This window comes from Homo sapiens, chromosome 22 (assembly GCF_000001405.40).
Source record: "Homo sapiens chromosome 22, GRCh38.p14 Primary Assembly".
Lineage (NCBI taxonomy): Eukaryota > Metazoa > Chordata > Mammalia > Primates > Hominidae > Homo > Homo sapiens.
Window position 1 is genome coordinate 50,199,705 of NC_000022.11, and position 17,947 is coordinate 50,217,651.

At 56.8% G+C, this 17,947-nt stretch overlaps 1 protein-coding gene and 2 long non-coding RNA genes across 3 annotated transcripts in view, besides 6 other annotated features; 1 reads left to right on the forward strand and 2 right to left on the reverse strand.

Annotated features, from left to right (window-relative positions):
* Positions 1–1,079, reverse strand: part of TRABD-AS1 (TRABD antisense RNA 1) — a 1,696-nt gene extending 617 nt beyond the window's left edge. Inside the window, exon 1 of the long non-coding RNA NR_186698.1 lies at positions 372–1,079. This is a non-coding gene — a long non-coding RNA (TRABD antisense RNA 1). The remainder of the gene's footprint in view (positions 1–371) is intronic.
* Positions 627–1,566: a silencer, noted in NCBI's record as "silent region_13956". NCBI's record gives its function as "represses an Ori minimal core promoter by ATAC-STARR-seq in GM12878 lymphoblastoid cells {active_cell/tissue: GM12878}" and the evidence as "EXISTENCE:reporter gene assay evidence [ECO:0000049][PMID:35858748]".
* On the forward strand, positions 1,307–17,912 carry SELENOO (selenoprotein O). The gene is made up of 9 exons (NM_031454.2): positions 1,307–1,886; positions 6,613–6,816; positions 8,832–9,012; positions 10,477–10,607; positions 10,927–11,207; positions 16,013–16,163; positions 16,987–17,172; positions 17,268–17,424; positions 17,501–17,912. Exons 1-9 carry the CDS (start codon positions 1,333–1,335, stop codon positions 17,663–17,665), a joined length of 2,010 nt encoding a protein of 669 aa, NP_113642.1. The 5' UTR covers positions 1,307–1,332; the 3' UTR covers positions 17,666–17,912.
* Positions 1,697–1,776: a silencer, noted in NCBI's record as "silent region_13957". NCBI's record gives its function as "represses an Ori minimal core promoter by ATAC-STARR-seq in GM12878 lymphoblastoid cells {active_cell/tissue: GM12878}" and the evidence as "EXISTENCE:reporter gene assay evidence [ECO:0000049][PMID:35858748]".
* Positions 2,137–2,376: an enhancer, noted in NCBI's record as "active region_19306". NCBI's record gives its function as "activates an Ori minimal core promoter by ATAC-STARR-seq in GM12878 lymphoblastoid cells {active_cell/tissue: GM12878}" and the evidence as "EXISTENCE:reporter gene assay evidence [ECO:0000049][PMID:35858748]".
* On the reverse strand, positions 5,877–10,477 carry SELENOO-AS1 (SELENOO antisense RNA 1). The gene is made up of 2 exons (XR_938352.3): positions 9,508–10,477; positions 5,877–9,065 (listed from the first exon to the last, which is right to left on the reverse strand). It is a non-coding gene; the product is annotated as an SELENOO antisense RNA 1 (long non-coding RNA).
* Positions 6,072–6,638: an enhancer, noted in NCBI's record as "H3K4me1 hESC enhancer chr22:50644205-50644771 (GRCh37/hg19 assembly coordinates)". NCBI's record gives its function as "activates a minimal SCP1, AML or CMV promoter by ChIP-STARR-seq in naive H9 embryonic stem cells {active_cell/tissue: H9 hESC(naive)}" and the evidence as "EXISTENCE:reporter gene assay evidence [ECO:0000049][PMID:30033119]".
* Positions 6,639–7,204: an enhancer, noted in NCBI's record as "H3K4me1 hESC enhancer chr22:50644772-50645337 (GRCh37/hg19 assembly coordinates)". NCBI's record gives its function as "activates a minimal SCP1, AML or CMV promoter by ChIP-STARR-seq in naive H9 embryonic stem cells {active_cell/tissue: H9 hESC(naive)}" and the evidence as "EXISTENCE:reporter gene assay evidence [ECO:0000049][PMID:30033119]".
* Positions 7,772–8,336: an enhancer, noted in NCBI's record as "H3K4me1 hESC enhancer chr22:50645905-50646469 (GRCh37/hg19 assembly coordinates)". NCBI's record gives its function as "activates a minimal SCP1, AML or CMV promoter by ChIP-STARR-seq in primed H9 embryonic stem cells {active_cell/tissue: H9 hESC(primed)}" and the evidence as "EXISTENCE:reporter gene assay evidence [ECO:0000049][PMID:30033119]".

Here is a 17,947-nt window from a genome sequence, read left to right on the forward strand (position 1 = left end):
AAGGAACCTGCCTGGTTTCCAGCAGAAGAGACAGAGTCGGGTCCCTCCATGCTGACCTGTGGGACCCTTCTCACCCACCAGGTGGGACGCAGGTGGCCTGCTGACACTCAAGACCCTCCATACCCAGTCCCACCAGATTCCAGAGTGTGGACCAGACTGAGCCAGACTGGGGCCCCAGGGGGTCGAGGAGACAGATCAGGAGGGCCCAGGGCCTGGGGAATGGGGAGGGGTAACACCTGCCAAGGAGGATGCTGGGAACGGGCGCCCAGAGCGGCCGGGGGGAGGGGGCTGCTGAAGAGGGAACGGTTGCTGTGGGCTGCAGAGGAGGGTTGGGCACGGGGACCTCACCACATTATCCCTCATCCAGTTACCTGCCCAACGCACGCGGAGGGTCCTGAGGGCTTCACCCGCAGCCCCAAAGGGGCAGAGCTGGGGTCACGCAGAGTCTCGGAAGCCCACGCTGTGGCCCCAGGAGAAGCTTCTGGATGTAGCTCCTGTATGTGAAGGGTGGGCTCGCGCCGCTGCCGGAATAAAGGGAAACCACAGGCAGGAGGGAGGCGCGTCCAGGATCCGCGGCCACCGGCCTCTCAGACAGTCCTCTGGGGCCGGGGCCGGAGGAGATGGAAAGCGGGGGCACCACAGACTCATCTGAACCCCCGCGTTCATTCGGACACACAGACCCCAAATTCCTCCCCCAGGGGTCGGGTCCCTCAAGCCAGCCGAAGACCCCGGTGCCCGCCCAGCCCTCCGGGAGGGTCTGCGCCTGCGGCCTCGCGGGGCCTCTCCGAGCCCGGGCGCTGTTCCATGGGCGGGGCACAGATCCAAGGCCCCTTCCCTCCTAGACGGCAGGCGAGGGGCCCGAGAGGCCGGAGGCCAGGGGACAAGGTCCCCGAGAGGCGGCGCGAGGCTCCGGCGGCCCAGAACCGCGGCGGGGTCCGGGTGGGGTCCCGGCCGCCCGTGGGGCGCGGGGCTAAGCCCCGGCCCGACCCGAACGGACGCGGGCCTCGGTCCCCGCTGCCGGCGCCGGTGCAGCCGAGGAAATCCGGGGCTGCCCGAGCGGGGTCGTCGCTGGCGGTCTCGGAGGCGTTCCCATCTGTCACCCCGTTCGCATCAGCGCGCGCCCCGTGACGCCGACAGCCACCCCGGACGCCTCCGACCCTCCGGCCGGGAGATGCGGATAGACGGACGAGGCAGCCAATTAGAGCCCGGCCAGACACCGCGACCCCTCCCCCCACCCGCCCCACTCTCGCCCACTGGCGATTGGGTTGCGGGACGCGCGGGGCGGGGCTTCCGGGCGGGGCAGGCTGGCTTCCGGCGGGAGCGGGGCCGCGGATGGCCGTATACAGGGCAGCGCTCGGGGCTTCGCTCGCGGCTGCCCGACTCTTGCCCCTCGGTCGCTGTTCCCCGTCGCCGGCGCCCCGCTCTACGTTGTCGGGCGCCGCCATGGAGCCCGCGCCTCGCTGGCTGGCGGGGCTGCGCTTCGACAACCGCGCCCTGCGCGCCCTGCCCGTGGAGGCGCCGCCGCCCGGTCCCGAGGGCGCCCCGTCCGCGCCGCGGCCCGTGCCCGGGGCCTGCTTCACCCGCGTGCAGCCCACCCCGCTGCGGCAGCCGCGCCTCGTGGCGCTGTCAGAGCCCGCGCTGGCGTTGCTGGGCCTGGGCGCGCCGCCCGCGCGCGAGGCCGAGGCCGAGGCCGCGCTGTTCTTCAGCGGCAACGCGCTCCTGCCGGGCGCCGAGCCCGCCGCGCACTGCTACTGCGGCCACCAATTCGGCCAGTTCGCCGGGCAGCTGGGCGACGGCGCCGCCATGTACCTGGGCGAGGTGTGCACGGCGACCGGCGAGCGCTGGGAGCTGCAGCTCAAGGGCGCCGGGCCCACGCCCTTCTCCAGGTGGGCCGGGGCGGGCGAGGGGCGCGGGTGGGTCCTCCCCGCCGGGGCGCCCCTTCCCTCCGCCCGGCGCGGTGTTGGGGGCGTCCGGCGGCTACTGCCAAGTGGGGCCTCCCCTGCACCCGCGGGAGCGCGGTGCTGGCAGCCGCCCGCGCCCTGTGCTTATCAACCCGCCGAGGACCTTGGAGTCAGCTCCACCAGGGACGCCGCTCATGTTTACCGACGTTCGCTGGGGCTCCAAACCCAGGGGCGGGAGCCGGGATGAGAGGTTAGGCTAACCCTAACCCTAACCCCGCAGGTCCCCAGCCTTCCTCCGATCGCTCGTGGGGCGGGCCGCTTCGTCCAGCAGCCTCGCTCTGCGACTGACTTCACGGAGGCCTGGCCCTGACTTCCCTGCGGGCAGCCCTTTTTAACCCCGAAGTGAGGTGGGCATCGTTTAGATTTCTGTGGGGGGGCACACAGGTGGTCTAATAAGGCAGGATCTGGGTCCAGATGCCGCCAGGCCCACCGGGGAGCCGTGCACGCGCCACCTGCCTCCTGTGTATAGACAGCGCTTGGGTCTGTTCTGCTCTTTTCTACTAAACAATGTACTTACTCCATATTCTTTACTGCTTTTGTGAATGACTAGGAAAGTGTACATTTTATGTTCAGAGAAATGCTAAACCCGCATCTCATCCGGCCCCTCCCTGTGCTCTCATCACCTCCCCCTCCAGCACCTGAAATGCCCCTCGGTCCCTCAGCATCCCTTCCCCGGGGCTCCATCTCCCAAGCAAGCTCCTCAGACTGAGGGTCTTCCTCACTCCCCCGTCTCCAAATCCGTTCTGTTCTGTGTCTGAGGGCAACCTGGCTCTGGCTCTCCCTCCCCACCCCCAGCGACCTGCTTAGAGTTGACAGCACCGGCCGCCCACTGGAGCGTTTCTGACCCTTGGAACGTGGTGGAAATGCTGCTCAGCCTGGGGCCTGCTTGTCCTGTGAGCATTTTTTTTTTTTAATTTTTGTTTTTCTTTTTGGCGATCATCTTAAACTTTATGTTTTCATTTTTGGTGATATTTTAAAGTTAAAAAGACAATTTTTTTTATGAGAGTAATCTGTCGCTGGAAGACACTTTTTATGTTTGAAGACTTGAGTATTAACTCACTGCTTTCAGACCTGAGAGCTGCTAGAATATATTTTCTCCTAAAAATTAAGGAGTCCTTTGACCTTTACTCAGGCCCTGCCTGACATCCCCACACGTGTCCTGGGGTCCCTGGCCTCACCAGTTCTCCAAGATTGAGGCTAACGTCTGAAGTGGCTGTGAGAAGGAAGAGACTTGAACAGTGAAAACTGAAAAACATGAAGAAAATAAAGAAAACATAAATAAATGGAAACATCCCTTGTTCGTGGGTTGGATAACTTAATATTAGAAAGACAACGGTACTCTTTGAAGAGATTCAGTATAGTCCTTATCAAAATACCAATGACAGTTTTTGCAAAAATAGAAAAACCCATTCTAAAATTCACATGGGGTCAGGTGCAGTGGCTCACTCCTGTAATCCCAGCACTTTGGGAGGCCAAGGCAGGAGGATTGCTTAAGGCCAGGAGTTGGAGACCAGCCTGGGAAACAGCAAGACCCTGTCTCTTCAAAAAAATATTTTTTTTTATTAGCTGGGCATGGTGGCGTGTGCTTCTAATTGCAGCTACTCAGGAGACTGAGGTGGAAGAATCACTTGAGCCCAGGATTCAAGGCTGCAGTGAGTTGTGATTATCCCATTGCACTCCAGCCTGGATGACAGAGTGAGACCCTGTCTCAAAAAGTAATACAATTCATATGGAATCTCAAGGGACCCTGAATGGACAAAACAATCTTGAAGAAAGTTGGAGGACTCATGCTTCCTGATTTCAAAACTTACTACAAAGCCGCAGTCAGCAAAACAGTATGGCATTGGCATAAGGATAGACATAGACCAGTGGGATGGAATAAAGAGCCTAGAAATAAACCTTCACATATATGGTCAGCAAATTTTCAACAAGTGTGCTGAGACCATTCAATGGAGAAAGACTTTTCAACAAATGGTGCTGGGAAAACTGGATCCTCATGCAAAAGAATGAAGCTGGGTCCTTAACTACACCATGAACGAAGTTAAGAGTGGACCAAAGACCTAAACATAAGAGCTAAAACTCCTAGAGAAAATAGGGAAAATGCCTCATGACATTGGATTTGGCAGCGTTCTTGGCTGTGACACAAAAGGCACAGGCAACTAAAGAAACAGGCAAACAAGACTTCATGAACACTTTAAAAATTAGGCATAAAAATACAGTATTAACAGTAAAAATGCAGCCCACAGAATGGGAGGAAACATTTGCAATTCATATATCTGATAAGTAATTAAGATCCAGAATATACAGAGAACTCTCAAAACTCAGCAACAGGAAAAAAAAATTCAAAAATGGACAAGTATTTGAATAGACATTTCTTCAAAGATGTGGCCAATAAGCACGTGAAGAGTTTATAACATGAGAAGACGCTCAACGTCATCAATCATTAGGGAAATGCAAACCAAAACTACAGTGGGACAGCACCTCATACCCATTGGGATGGCAGTTATTTAAAAAAAGGTTGACCTGGGCGTGGTGGTGGGTGCCTGTAATCCCAGCTACTCAGGAGGCTGAGGCAGAATTGCTTGAACCCGGGAGGTGGAGCTTGCAGTGAGCCAAGATCACACCACTGCACTTCAGCCTGGGCGACAGGGCAAGACTGTCTCGGAAAAATAAAAGGTTGGTCGGGCACAGTGGCTCACGCCTGTAATCCCAGCACTTTGGGAGGCTGAGGTGGGCGGATCATTTGAGGTCAGGAGTTTGAGACCAGCCTGGCCAACATGGTGAAACCCCAGCTCTACAAAAAATACAAAAATTAGCCGGGCATGGTGGAGCGTGCCTGTGATCCCAGCTACCTGGGAGGCTGAGGCAGGAGAATCACTTGAACCCAGGAGGCGGAGGTTGCAGTGAGCCGAGATCACGCCACTGTCCCTGGGTGACAGAGTGAGACCCTGTCTCAAAAAAAAAAAAAAATCGTAAGTTAAAAAGTGTTGCGGCTGTGGAGAAATTGGAACCCTTCTGCACTGTTGGTGGGAATGTAAAATGATAGAGTTGCTGTGGAAAACAGTGTGGAAGTTCCTCAAATAATTAAATCACCACATGATTCAGCAGTTCTGCTTCTGGGTATATCCCCAAGAGCAGGATCTCAAGATTTGTATACCGATATTCATGGCCAAAAGGCAGAACAAGTGTCTATCAGCAGGTGAATGGATTAAATGTGATGTGTACATACAGTGGAATATTATTCATCCTTAAGAAAGAAGATGCTGATATGCTACAACACGGATGAACCTGGAGGACGTGGTGCAGTGAAATAAGCTGGTCACAGAGAGACAAATCCTGGGTGATCCCACTTACATGAGGTACCTAGAGAGCCACATTCATAGAGACAAAGTAGAATGGTGGGTCCCAGGGGCTGGAGGGAGTAGAGGAATCGGGAGCCAGTGTTCGATGGGGACAAAGTTTCAGTTTCTGGGTCCCAGGGGCTGGAGGGAGTAGAGGAATCGGGAGCCAGTGTTCGATGGGGACAAAGTTTCAGTTTCACAAGACAGATTTCTGGACATGGATGGGGGTGATGGTTGTGCAACATTATGAACGTATTTAATAGCACTGATCTGTACACTTATAAATGGCTAAGATGGGCCGGGCGCAGTGGCTCATGCCTGTAATCCTAGCACTTTTGGGAGGCCAAGGTGAGAGGATCGCTTGAGCCCAGGAGTTCAAGACTAGCGTGGGCAACATAAACCCCGTCTTTACAAAAAGTAAGACAAGAATTAGCAGAGCTTGGCGGCATTGCCTGTAGTCCCATCTGCTTGGCAGGCTGAGGCGAGAGGGTGGTGCTGCAGTGAGCCAGGTTTGTGCCACTGCACTCCAGGCCAAGTGACAGAGTGAGACCCTGTCTTTAAAAAACAAAAAAAGTGGCTTAAGATGGTAAATTTATTTTATGTGTATTTTACCACAGTGAAAATAATTGAAGAAAAAGGGGGCAGTCATCTGGCCCTCAGATCTCACATCCCCTTCCCCATGCCTGTCCGATTCCCTGGCCTCGGCAGTTCTGCAGGACATGAGGCCGAGGCCGGGGACCCGAAGACCTGTGGGGAAGGGAATGCGAGACCTGGGGGTCAGAAGTGGCTGAGTGGCCTGAGGCCAGCGCTGTCGGAGCCTCGGGCGGGTTTTGCGGGGCGGGCAGCTGGCTTCTCTGCCCTGCCTCCTCCCACTGTGGGTGTGGGGGCCCCGGCAGGCACAGAGGAGCTCATTCCTCAGCTGGCCCGTACCGGGGCACCCATCCTGGTGCAAAGGCTGTTGTGTCCCATGGGGCAGGGCTGCCCCAGGCCCTTTGTCCCCACTGTGCAGTCACACAGTCCTGGCTTCTGCTGCGGAACCCTCGTTCTGGGCAGGAAGACGGGCTGCTGCGTGTGTTCAGGCCCATTTTTACCAGAGGCTGTGCCGACAACCTGCTGGGCTGTGAGGTTGCTGGAACTGGGCGGTGTTGGAGGCTCACAAGGCACCTGATGTCACCTGGGACGGGCGGTTTTCAGGGACGTGCAAGCTGCTCACGTTACACGCGTTCCCTCCTTTCCATGTGCTGCCCGGAATCCTGGTGTTGGGTGACCTCCTGACCGGCCCACGTAGTGAACTCTGTGTTTGGTTTCAGACAGGCCGACGGTCGCAAGGTCCTACGGTCAAGCATCCGGGAGTTTCTATGCAGCGAAGCCATGTTCCACCTGGGAGTCCCCACCACACGGGCCGGCGCCTGCGTCACGTCCGAGTCCACGGTGGTGCGCGACGTGTTCTATGATGGTAATCCCAAATATGAACAATGCACGGTTGTGTTGCGTGTAGCTTCCACTTTCATAAGGTAATGCCGGGGGCCTTTCGGCCTGTCTACACGCACTTGCTTAGAGTCCTAGGAGATTTGGGCCTGTGCTGCTAGGATTCTGGTAGAAACAAACCCAGATGACCGCCTTGGCCTCTTCTGAAAGTCCAGCCTGTCCCTGGCAGCCTCAGAAGCTGCCTGTCCGCGAAGTAGCTGCGTCACGCCCACTGGGAGGGATCTGAGTGCAAAGGCATTTGGTACTCAGTTAGGACACTTGTGCTGAGCCCTCCCACGTGCCCGGCCAGGCCCTCGTTGCAGCCAGAGATGGCCCTGCGGGAGCTGGTGTGTCTCAAAGCACCAGCAGGGGGCTCCAGGGCCACGGGCACCAGAGAAGGGTCCCTGCCTGGTGCTTCTGGGGGGGAGGGGGTCCCTGAGCCTGAGGCTGGGGACAGTGTCCAGAGCTGTTTGCTGGAGTTTATGACAAGGAACTACTTAGACTTGACTGAGGAAATGGCCACTGAAGAAGCAGGAGCCGCAAGCTGTGCGCGGTGTCCTGCTCAGGCTTTCTGATCTGATGGTCCAGTTGCTCGTTGGTCTGGAGTCCTAGGCTGGCTCCTGTCTGACGTGAGCCATCAGTTATCAGTTCTCTTTTCTTTTTTTTTGAGACAGAGTATCGCTCTGTCACCCAGGCTGGAGTGCAGTGGCGTGATCTTGGCTCAGTGCAACCTCCGCCTCCCGGGTTCAAGCGATTCTCCTACCTCAGTCCCCCCAAATAGCTGGGGTTACAGACGTGCGCCACCACGTCCAGCTAATTTTTATATTTTTAGTACAGACAGGGTTTCTCCATGTTGGCCAGGCTGGTCTCGAACTCCTGACCTCTGGTGATTCACCCATCTTGGCCTCCTAAAGTGCTAGAATTATAGGCCTGAGCCACCGCGCCCGGCCCCCAGCCATCAGTTTTTGATGTCACCTTGCCACCTGGCGTCTAGCACTTCCTCCTGAACACCTGAATGTAGTTGTCTGTTGGTCTTGCAGCCCCGTCCTGCCCGGGACACCAGCCGCCCACCCCTGAGGCTGCCTGTGGGCCTCTGGCTTTTCCTGTCCTGCAGGGGGATGGGAAAGATCTGGGGCCACGACTTCCTCTGAGGCCCCGCCCAGCGGCAATGCTGGCATTGTTGTGAAGTCCACCCTGTGTGCACACAGCATCCCTGCCCTGGGCCCGCTGGTTGCCAGTAGTAACCCCAGTTGTGACAACGAAAAATGTGTCCAGACCTTGCCTGATGTCCCCTGGGGGGCAGTCACCCTGGGGGACGGCTGCTGGTGAGCGCTCACAGATGTGTGTCCATAGCAGCTGACTCTCCTTTGCATCTCCTCCCCGAGGACGCAGTGGCAGGCAGGCCACGCCCCTCCGTGTGTAAGACCTGCCGAAAACACTCCTCGTGGGGTTGGGGTGGGAGTGCAGGGGCCTTGGTGGTTTCTACACCCATGGGCCTGCCCGGCACGTGCCCCAGACTGTGCAGACAGGGCCTGGTCAGTGGCTGGATGTTGACCAAACGTGGAATATGTCTGTGTGTCAGGTAAAGCTGTGGTGCATTCTGGTTGGTTGTTTGCTTTTGTTTTAATCAAGGTTCTCTTTCTGCTGTAGGGCTGCATGATTTAGCAGCCACAACAGGCCAGGCGCGGTGGCTCACGCCTGTAATCCCAGCACTTTGGGAGGCCGAGGCGGGTGGATCACGAGGTCAGGAGTTTGAGACCAGCCTGACCAACATGGTGAAACCCTGTCTCTACTAAAAATACAAAAATTAGCTGGGCGTGGTGGCGTGTGCCTGTAATCCCAGCTACTCGGGAGGCTGAGGCAGTAGAATCACTTGAACCCAGAAGTTGGAGGTTGTGGTGAGGCGAGATCGCGCCACTGCACTCCAGCCTGGACAACAAGAGTGAGACTCCATCTCAAAAAAAAAAAAAAAATAGCCACAACAACGTCTTTTCCTTTTTCTTATTTTCACAAGGGGCTGGGGTCAGGTTTGGGCTGTTGACGCCTCGGGTCTTCCCTCCAGGTTTGGATCCTTTGAGATTTTTAAGTCTGCAGATGAGCACACAGGGCGTGCAGGCCCCAGCGTGGGGAGGAACGACATTCGAGTGCAGCTGCTCGACTATGTCATCAGCTCCTTTTACCCCGAGATCCAGGCTGCTCATGCCAGCGACAGCGTGCAGAGAAATGCTGCCTTCTTCCGGGAGGTCAGTGGGCCGCACGCCACCCCTCCCTGCGGGTGGATGCTGGGTGTCCCCACCTGTGTTGAAGACACCCTCATTTTGGCCGGGGGACAAAGGCTTTTACCCAGCCTCCCCGCCCTTCTCTGAGCTCCCGCTCCTGTCCGCAAACCCCATCATGTGTGCTCGGGCCCTGGGACAAACCTGAAACTCCCCTGGGCTCCGTGGTGTTGGGGGCCCTGGGCGTGCTCTCCTACTGGTATCCCTGCAGGGCCAGCTTGGGGCGGGGGTGCGGGGTGGGAGCTGGCTTGGGTGGAAGGACCATGGGCTGGGCACCTCCCACGTGGGTCGATACGTCTTGATGCCCAGGGCAGCCAGCCGGGTCCTGACTGGGGAGATGCTGAGTGCCCACCTGGGGTCTGGGTCCCCGCCCCACGGACACCACAGACGTCCCACATGGCTTGATGGCATCGTCCTTGTCACAGGGCATTCAGCACACGGTGGGGGAACCCGGCACCTCACCTGGCTGGGCTGGGGGCCTGCAGCATCAGCGGGGTCAGGCCAAGTAGGGGTTCCGGGGGACCGGGCACAGCATCTTCTTTGAGAAGTCTCAGGCCACCCCTGGAGCAGCTGCAGCCAGGGCTGCGTGGGGACCCGCTTTGCCACGTGGCTGGGGGCTGTTGGGCTGCCGTCAGCAGAAGCTGGCGCCAGGCAGGTGCTCCTAGGGCTGTGTCCTGCCCCAGCTCCATCCCTGCAGTCCACCCCAGCCATGTTCCATGTGGGTGGGCGATGGGGCTGCAGAAGGCCGGGAGGAGCCGCTGGGGCAGCCTGGTGCTCCGGCATAGACATGCGTGGGTGGTCAAGGCAGGTCACTCTGCCCCTCTGAGCCTCAGTCTTCTGCCAGTGACGCAGGGAGACGGCACTGACTGCCTCCCAGGAGCGTCGGTGGCCTTGAAGGAGAGAGGTGGTGTCAGGCCTGTGTTCAGCAGGGCCGGTGGGGCCCTCAGTGCACCCTGCACCTTGGGGGCTCCTGGCCCCCCTGTTGATTGGCCCCTATTCTCAAGGTTACCGGTGCTGGGCTGGGTGGGGACTGCTGTCTGGTTGGGGGGGGCCAGGCCAGCAGGGTGGTGGTGGCACCAGGATGGACAGTGGCCTGGCCCTGGGGCAGGTGTGGCCCCTCAGTGAACTGACCCTTCTCTGCTTCTTTGGGGTCTCTACTGGGCCTGAGTCTGGGGTTCCCTGATTTTTCTAGTTTGGGTAAAAGCCAAATTTTGTGAGCATATTAAAGAGTGGATGCTGTGAGTGCAACGCACTCTTCATCGCCACCTTGTGGTTGAGGCGGTGACAGGACATCAGGAAGATCGCCCAGAAACTGCAGAGTGAGAGCCACTCAGCGAAGCACAGCCGGTTTCAGGGAGGGGAAGGATGGACACGAGTGGGGAGGTCTGGGCAGGACCCCGAGGAGGGAGCAAGCACACTGTCCCACCCCAGGTGACGCGGCGCACGGCGCGGATGGTGGCCGAGTGGCAGTGTGTGGGCTTCTGCCACGGCGTGCTCAACACCGACAACATGAGCATCCTGGGGCTCACCATCGACTACGGGCCCTTTGGCTTCCTGGACAGGTAAGTGGCCCTGGGGCCCAGCAAAGTGCAGGCCCCAGGGCTGGGGGGTGCGGGCTGCATGAAACCTGCTGCCCCCAGGCACTGGCCCGTGATGCTTGAGGGGGAGCCGAGGGGGCTGGGGGCTGATGTAGGAAGTAGAGAGTCCAGGGCAATCCCGGAGGCCTTGGCCAGGGGCTGGTGAGACAGGACCCCTGTGGGACAGGGCCAGAGAGCCACGGCCACTTGGGACCTTCCCCTGGGCCTCCCCTCCAGGGTGGCTGCACCATCTCCCGGGAACTTCCTCTCAGGCAGGGCGTGGCTCTCTTGCCCCGTGTGGCAGGTACGACCCCGACCACGTGTGCAATGCCTCCGACAACACCGGCCGCTACGCGTACAGCAAGCAGCCCGAGGTGTGCAGGTGGAACCTGCGGAAGCTGGCCGAGGCCCTGCAGCCGGAACTGCCCCTGGAGCTGGGGGAGGCCATCCTGGCCGAGGAGTTTGACGCCGAGTTCCAAAGGCACTACCTGCAGAAGATGCGCAGGAAGCTGGGCCTCGTGCAGGTGGAGCTGGAGGAAGACGGGGCGCTGGTGTCCAAGCTCCTGGAGACCATGCATCTGACCGGTGAGTGACCCAGCCGTGCCCACAGCAAGGCGCCTCCCGTGCTGTTGTGCTTAGAGATGGTTTACCTTCTGGCTTCCAGGTTCCAAGTGCACAGTCACTCCCTGGGCCCACCCCAGCCCTGGCACCCCCATTCTACTCTCTGTCTTTATGAATTTGGTGAATCTAGGACCTGCTGCGAGTGGAGTCATACGGTGCTTGTTCTGTAGTGACTGCTTATTTCACTTAGCATAAGGTCCTCAATGTTCACCCAGGTCCGTATCAGGATTTTATTCCATTTGAAGGCTGAGAAGCATCCCGTTGTGTGGACAGGCCGCAGTTTGCTTATCCACGACATACTGGCGTACGTGTTCCTCTTCTGGCTGTTGCGTACGGTGCACTGTGTGTTGTGTGCCGTGCTGCCATGAAAGCGAATGCAGAGATCTCTGACTCCCTGCTTTCAGTTCCGTGGGGTGTACAGGTGGTAGGATTGCTGGGTCGTGTGGGTGACTCACTGGGTTGCACTAGCTAGGACGTGTATGTTGAACAGAAGGAGCTGAGATGGGCATTCTTTTCTTGTTCCTGACCTTCGGGGAAAAGTGTTCAGTGTTTCACCCATTGAGTGTGATGTTAGCTGTGGGCTTTTACCATGCTGAAGTTTTCTTTCAGAATGCTTTTACCATGAAAAGCTATTGCATTTTATCAAATGCTTTTTCCTGCAATGAAGATGGTCATGTGGTTTTATTATTTCATTCATATCTCCTTGCATTCTGGGGATAAATTTTACTTGGTCCTTTTAATATGCTATATGATTATTATTTTTAATATTTTTTGAGACGGAGTTTCACTCTTGTTGCCCAGGCTGGAGTGCAGTGGCACGATCTTGGCTCACTGCAACCTCCACCTCCTGGGTTCAAGTGATTCTCCTGCCTCAGTCTCTCAAGTAGCTGGGATTACAGGCACCCGCCACCACACCCGGCTAATTTTGTATTTTTAGTAGAGACAGGGTTTCGCCGTGTTGGTCAGGCTGGTCTTGAACTCCCGACCTCAGGTGATCTGCCCACCTCAGCCGCCCAAAGTACTGGGATTATAGGCGTGAGCCACCGCACCCAGCCATATGCTGTATAATTATTTTAATATGCTGAATGTTGCGAGTATTTTGAGGATTTTTGCATCTGTATGCGTAAGGGATACTAGCTTAGAGTTCTGCTTTTTCTTTAGTGTCTGTTTGGCTTTGATGTCAAGGTGGTGCTGGCCTCAGAGTGAGTTAGGAGGTATGCGCACATCTTCCATTTTTTTCCTTCAAAGTTTGAGAAGGATTGCCATTTGTTCGTAAGAGTATTTGGTAGAAATCACCAGTGAAGCCATCTGGTCCTGGGCTTTTCTTTGTTGGAAAAATTTTGATTACTGATCAGTCTCCTTGCTTGCCTTACCTCAATTTAGATTTTCTTTTCTTCTTGAGTCAGTTTTGGTAATTTATGTTTCCAGGAATTTTCTGTGTCAGGTAGTTTGTCCATGTCTTGTAGGTAATTTTGGCATATAATTGTTCGTAGCAGTTTTTTACAATTTCATTGTGGTAGGAACACAACATGGATCTATCCTCTTAAATTGTGGAGGGCACCGCACATCACAGCTGACGCAGGAGCAGTGCTGTACAGCCGAGCCCTGGAGCTTGTTCACATCCGCCACCCAAACCCTGTGTGAGCCGGTTACCAGCTCCCCATTCCCCTCCCTGCAGCCCCTGGTAGCAACCACTCCGCTCCGAGTCTGTGAACCTGACTGCTCTAAACCCTTCATGTAAGTGGAGTTACACAGCGTGTGCCTGTTTCTTCAGTCTGTTGTCTCCCTCTAATCTTCGTGTAAGTGGAGTTACGCAGCGTGCGCCTGTTTCTTCAGTCTGTTGTCTCCCTCTAATCTTCGTTTAAGTGGAGTTACGCAGCGTGTGCCTGTTTCTTCAGTCTATTGTCTCCCTCTAATCTTCGTGTAAGTGGAGTTACGCAGCGTGTGCCTGTTTCTTCAGTCTATTGTCTCCCTCTAATCTTGGCTCTTCTTTCTCCAGTTCCTTAGGCGTGAGTTGAGGTAACTGATTGGAGATCTTCTTCAGTGTAGCCATTTACACTGTGCATGTCTTTCTGGTCACTGCTTTTGCTGTGTCCATCAATTTTGGTATGTTGTGGGTTTTTTTGGTTTTTAGACGGAGTCTTACTCTGTCGCCCAAGCTGGAGTGCAGTGGCATGATCTTGGCTCACTGCAACCTCCGCCTCCCAGGCTCAAGTGGTTCTCCTCCTTCAGACTCCCAAGTAGCTGGGACTACTGGCATGCTCCACCACACCTAGCTAATTTTTGTACTGTTAGGAGAGATGGGGCTTCACCATGTTGGCCAGGCTGGTCTCCAACACCTGATCGCAAGTGATCTGCCTCAGCCTCCCAAAGTGCTGGGATTCTGGGGATGAGCCGCCGCGCCCAGCCAGTGTGTTGTGTTTTTAAGTGATTTCTAGCTTCATTCCATTGTGACTAGAGATGTCAGCCTTTTGAGGTTTATTACAACTTGTTTTGTGGCTTATCTTGGAGAACTTTCTGTGTGCCCTGGAGAAGACGGTGTGCTCTCTTTTGCTGGGCAGAGCGTCCTGTACCCGTGTGCCCTGGAGAAGACGGTGTGCTCTCTTCTGCTGGGTGGAGGGTTCCGTGTATGTGCCTGTTTGGTCTTGTTGGTTTAGGCTGTTGTTCAGGTCTTCCATTTCTCATTGATCTTCTGTCTGGATGGTTTTTTTGTTTTTTGAGACGGAGTCTTGCTCTGTCACCCAGGCTGGAGTGCAGTGGCGCGATCTCAGCTCACTGCAAGCTCCACCTCCCAGGTTCACGGCATTTTCCTGCCTCAGCCTCCCGAGTAGCTGGGACTACAGGCGCCTGCCACCACGCCCGGGTAATTTTTTTGTATTTTTAGTAGAGACGGGGTTTCACCGTGTTAGCCAGGATGGTCTTGATCGCCTGACCTCGTGATCCACCTGCCTCGGCCTCCCAAAGTGCTGGGATTACAGGCATGAGCCACCGCTCCCAACCCTAGATGGTCTATCCATTATTAAGTGGTGTGTTTAAGTCTCCAACTCTTACTATAGATAGAACTGTTTGTTGTCTGTCCCTTCCATTCTGCCAACGTTTACATTTTTGGGCTTTCTTATTGGGTGCATGTTTATAATTTTTACATTTTTATTGATGAATTGACTCTTTTATCCATATATAATGCTGTCTCTTGTAACGACTTTTTGTTGAGGGTGGATGTGTCTCACTTTGTTGCCCAGGCTGGAGTGCAGTGGCACAGCTGCGGCTCACTGCAGCCTCCACTTCTTGTGCTCTAGTTATCCTCCTGCCTCAGCCTACCAAGTAGCTGGGATTACAGGGGTGAGCACCTTTCCCGGCCCTTCTGACAATTTTTTATTTAAAATCTTCTCTGGCCGGGCATGGTGGCTCATGCCTGTAATCCCAACACTTTGGGAGGCCGAGGCAGGCAGATCACCTGAGGTCAAGAGTTCGAGACCAGTTTGGCCAACATGGTGAAACTCCATCTCTACTAAAAATACAAAGATTAGCCAGGCATGGTGGTGGGTGCCTGTAATCTCAGCTACTCAGGAGACTGAGGCAGGAGAGGCGGAGGTTGCAGTGAGCTGAGATCACGCCACTGCACTCCAGCCTAGGCAACAAGAGCAAGACTCCATCTCAAAAAACAAAAATTAGCCAGGCATGGTGGCGGATGCCTGTAATCCCAGCTACTCGGGAGGCTGAGGTAGGAGAATTGCTGGAACCCAGGAGGCGGAGGTTGCAGTGAGCCGAGATTGCGCCACTGCACTCCAGCCCCGGCAACAGAGCAAGACTCCGTCTCAAAAAATAGAAAACTTATCTGCTGTGAGTTTAAGAGTCGCCTCAGCTCTCTTTAGGTTACTCTTTGCCTGGGTTTCTTCATCCTTTCACTTCCAGCCTGTTCGTGTCTTTGAACGTCTTGCAGATCGTGTGGTGACAACATGGAAATCGTCTTTTCACCCACTTTGCCAATCTGCCTTTTGTTGGAGCGATCAGTCCATTCGCTTTCAAAGCAGTTACTGAGGGGGAGCTTCTGCCATGTTTCTGGTCGCTCACGTTCTCCCTTGCTACCTTTGTGTGTAGTCGACTTTTTTGCAGTACGTTGCTTTGACTCCCTTCTCATTTTGTTTTTAAGACAGTCTTAGGGTCACTGTGGTTTCAGACAGTGTTTTCCAGAGTCAGGGGGAGGATCGCAGTGTCTGTCACAAGTTGGGCCTTTTGCAGGCGGGTTACAGCAGCTTCTCAACACTCGCTAGCTCCCAAAGCAGGCAGTTGTGACTGTGAGGATGTGAGGGCCGGGCAGCAGCCTCTGCCTTCTCAGTATTAGGCCACTTCACAGGTGACTTGGAGGGTGAGCAAATGGCAGCTGCCTGGGCGGTGGATGGGTGGAGGCTGAGGAGTGGGGTGTGGAGGGCTCAGGAGTCCCAGGACCAATGCTGAGCGGGGCTTGTGTGGCACCTGTGCTGGGGGCAGCATTTGGGTCCGTGTGGGTCTCTGTGGCATGCGTGCCAGGTGTGGGTCCGTGTGGCACCTGTGCTGGGGGAGGGTGTGGGTCTGTATGGCACTGTGCCAGGTGGAGGGTGTGGGTCAGGGAGCGTGTGGATCCGTGCTGGCGGTGGGGGGCGGTGGTGGAGCATGTGGGTGGGTCCATGCAGCACCTGTGCCAGGGGGGTGGGGGGGGGGGGGTCTGTGTGGCACCAGGACAGGGACCCTGGGCCTTCTGCTTCCAGCTCCCTGAGCAGCCTGTGTTCCAGGTGCCGACTTCACAAACACCTTCTACTTGCTGAGCTCCTTCCCAGTGGAGCTAGAGTCGCCAGGCCTGGCGGAATTCCTGGCCAGGCTGATGGAGCAGTGTGCCTCCCTGGAGGAGCTGAGGCTGGCCTTCCGGCCCCAGATGGATCCCCGGTGGGTACTCAGTTCCTACTTCTTTGGATTTGTTTCCAGAAAAGGAAGCATAATCAGAAACAGAGGCTGGGGGAGAAGCTAGAGACAGAGCTGGCTGGGGCCCAGGTGGCTGCTCCGCTCCCAGGGACAGATTCAGTCAGGGCTTCAGGGCATCTCTGCGATGCTGGGGCCGGTTGGTCACAGAGTAGAGAGTGGCGAGGCTGACACAGGTGTGGGGGCAGACAGTGGTCTCTGCTGTGGGTGGGCTTCAGAGAAAGCCTCTGGGTTTCTAGGGAGAATGGGCTCCCAGAGGTCAAGCTTTCCCACACCATCTTCCAAAGGGAAGGGCTGCCCTGTCTGAAGAGTCCCGCCCACGTGCAGGATGAGACGTGGAAAATATTGTTGCTTTAACTTAAAAAACAAGACCAGTGGGGTTGGCTGGGAGCACCGGCCAGCAGGCCCTGCTGAGCATAAACCCCCTCCACTGGAGAAGGCGTGGCCCCTGCCCACCTGGACCCTTCTGGAAATGAGGGAAGTGCTAACAGCAGTGCCCATCCCACAAGCATTAAACTCGGGAGGTGGAGACTCTCCAGCAGAAAGCTGGGCAGCAGAGTGGTCCTGCCCCTCGGCCCACAAAGGGCCTTGGCCGAGCATGGGCATGCCTGGTGTGTGCCCACTGGGGTCCATCCCTGCCAGTGGGGTTCCAGGGACCTCGGGGACCGGGCTGCTTGGGCCCTTGGACTCTAGGTGAGCCGTGAGAGCGGGCTGGGGCAGGCGGAGCAGCTGCCTGCAGGGCAGGGACACGGTCAGGGGCTACCTCCCAGACACCCTGGCCTCTCCACAGGCAGCTATCCATGATGCTGATGCTGGCGCAGTCAAACCCGCAGCTGTTCGCGCTTATGGGCACCCGGGCAGGCATCGCCAGGGAGCTGGAGCGTGTGGAGCAGCAGTCTCGGCTGGAGCAGCTGAGTGCGGCAGAGCTGCAGAGCAGGAACCAGGGCCACTGGGCTGACTGGCTACAGGCGTACAGGTGAGCCCTGCGTCCATGGTCACCGGGGGACGGCGGGTCGCGTGCTGGAAAAAGTCCAGCCCGGCTGTGACTCCAGAGCCCGGATGTCATTCCAGAGCCCGGCTGGACAAGGACCTGGAAGGCGCTGGGGACGCTGCCGCCTGGCAGGCTGAGCACGTGCGCGTGATGCACGCCAACAACCCGAAGTACGTGCTGAGGAACTACATCGCGCAGAATGCCATCGAGGCTGCCGAGCGCGGGGACTTCTCAGAGGCAAGCACACGCCTGTCCCTGTGGTCCCTGGGAGGGGGGTCGGCCCCAGACCCCTCTCACCCTCCTGATCCTCCAGGTGCGGCGGGTGCTGAAACTACTGGAGACCCCTTACCACTGCGAGGCGGGGGCCGCCACAGACGCCGAGGCCACGGAAGCCGACGGGGCGGACGGCAGGCAGCGCTCCTACAGCAGTAAGCCCCCGCTCTGGGCAGCAGAACTGTGCGTGACATGATCTTCGTAACGGCCTCGGCACGCTCCACACCCCTGGAGTCTCCCGAGGCCCCCATGTGCTGCTGAGTGGCCAAGATGATGCCAGGCTGCCCTATACACTGGGGGATTCTGCCCTGGCCCATGCACACCCGTCTTTCCATGATGGCAGAGACATCCAGTCAGGACCTGACCCGTCTCTGTCTGAGGCCGGCTCAGCAGTGCAGCCTGGTCCCTGGGGGCTGGACCCAGGCTCCTAAATAAACCAGCAACTCCCTCGAGTCTGTCTCTGTGGTCATTGTTCCCCCACCCTGCC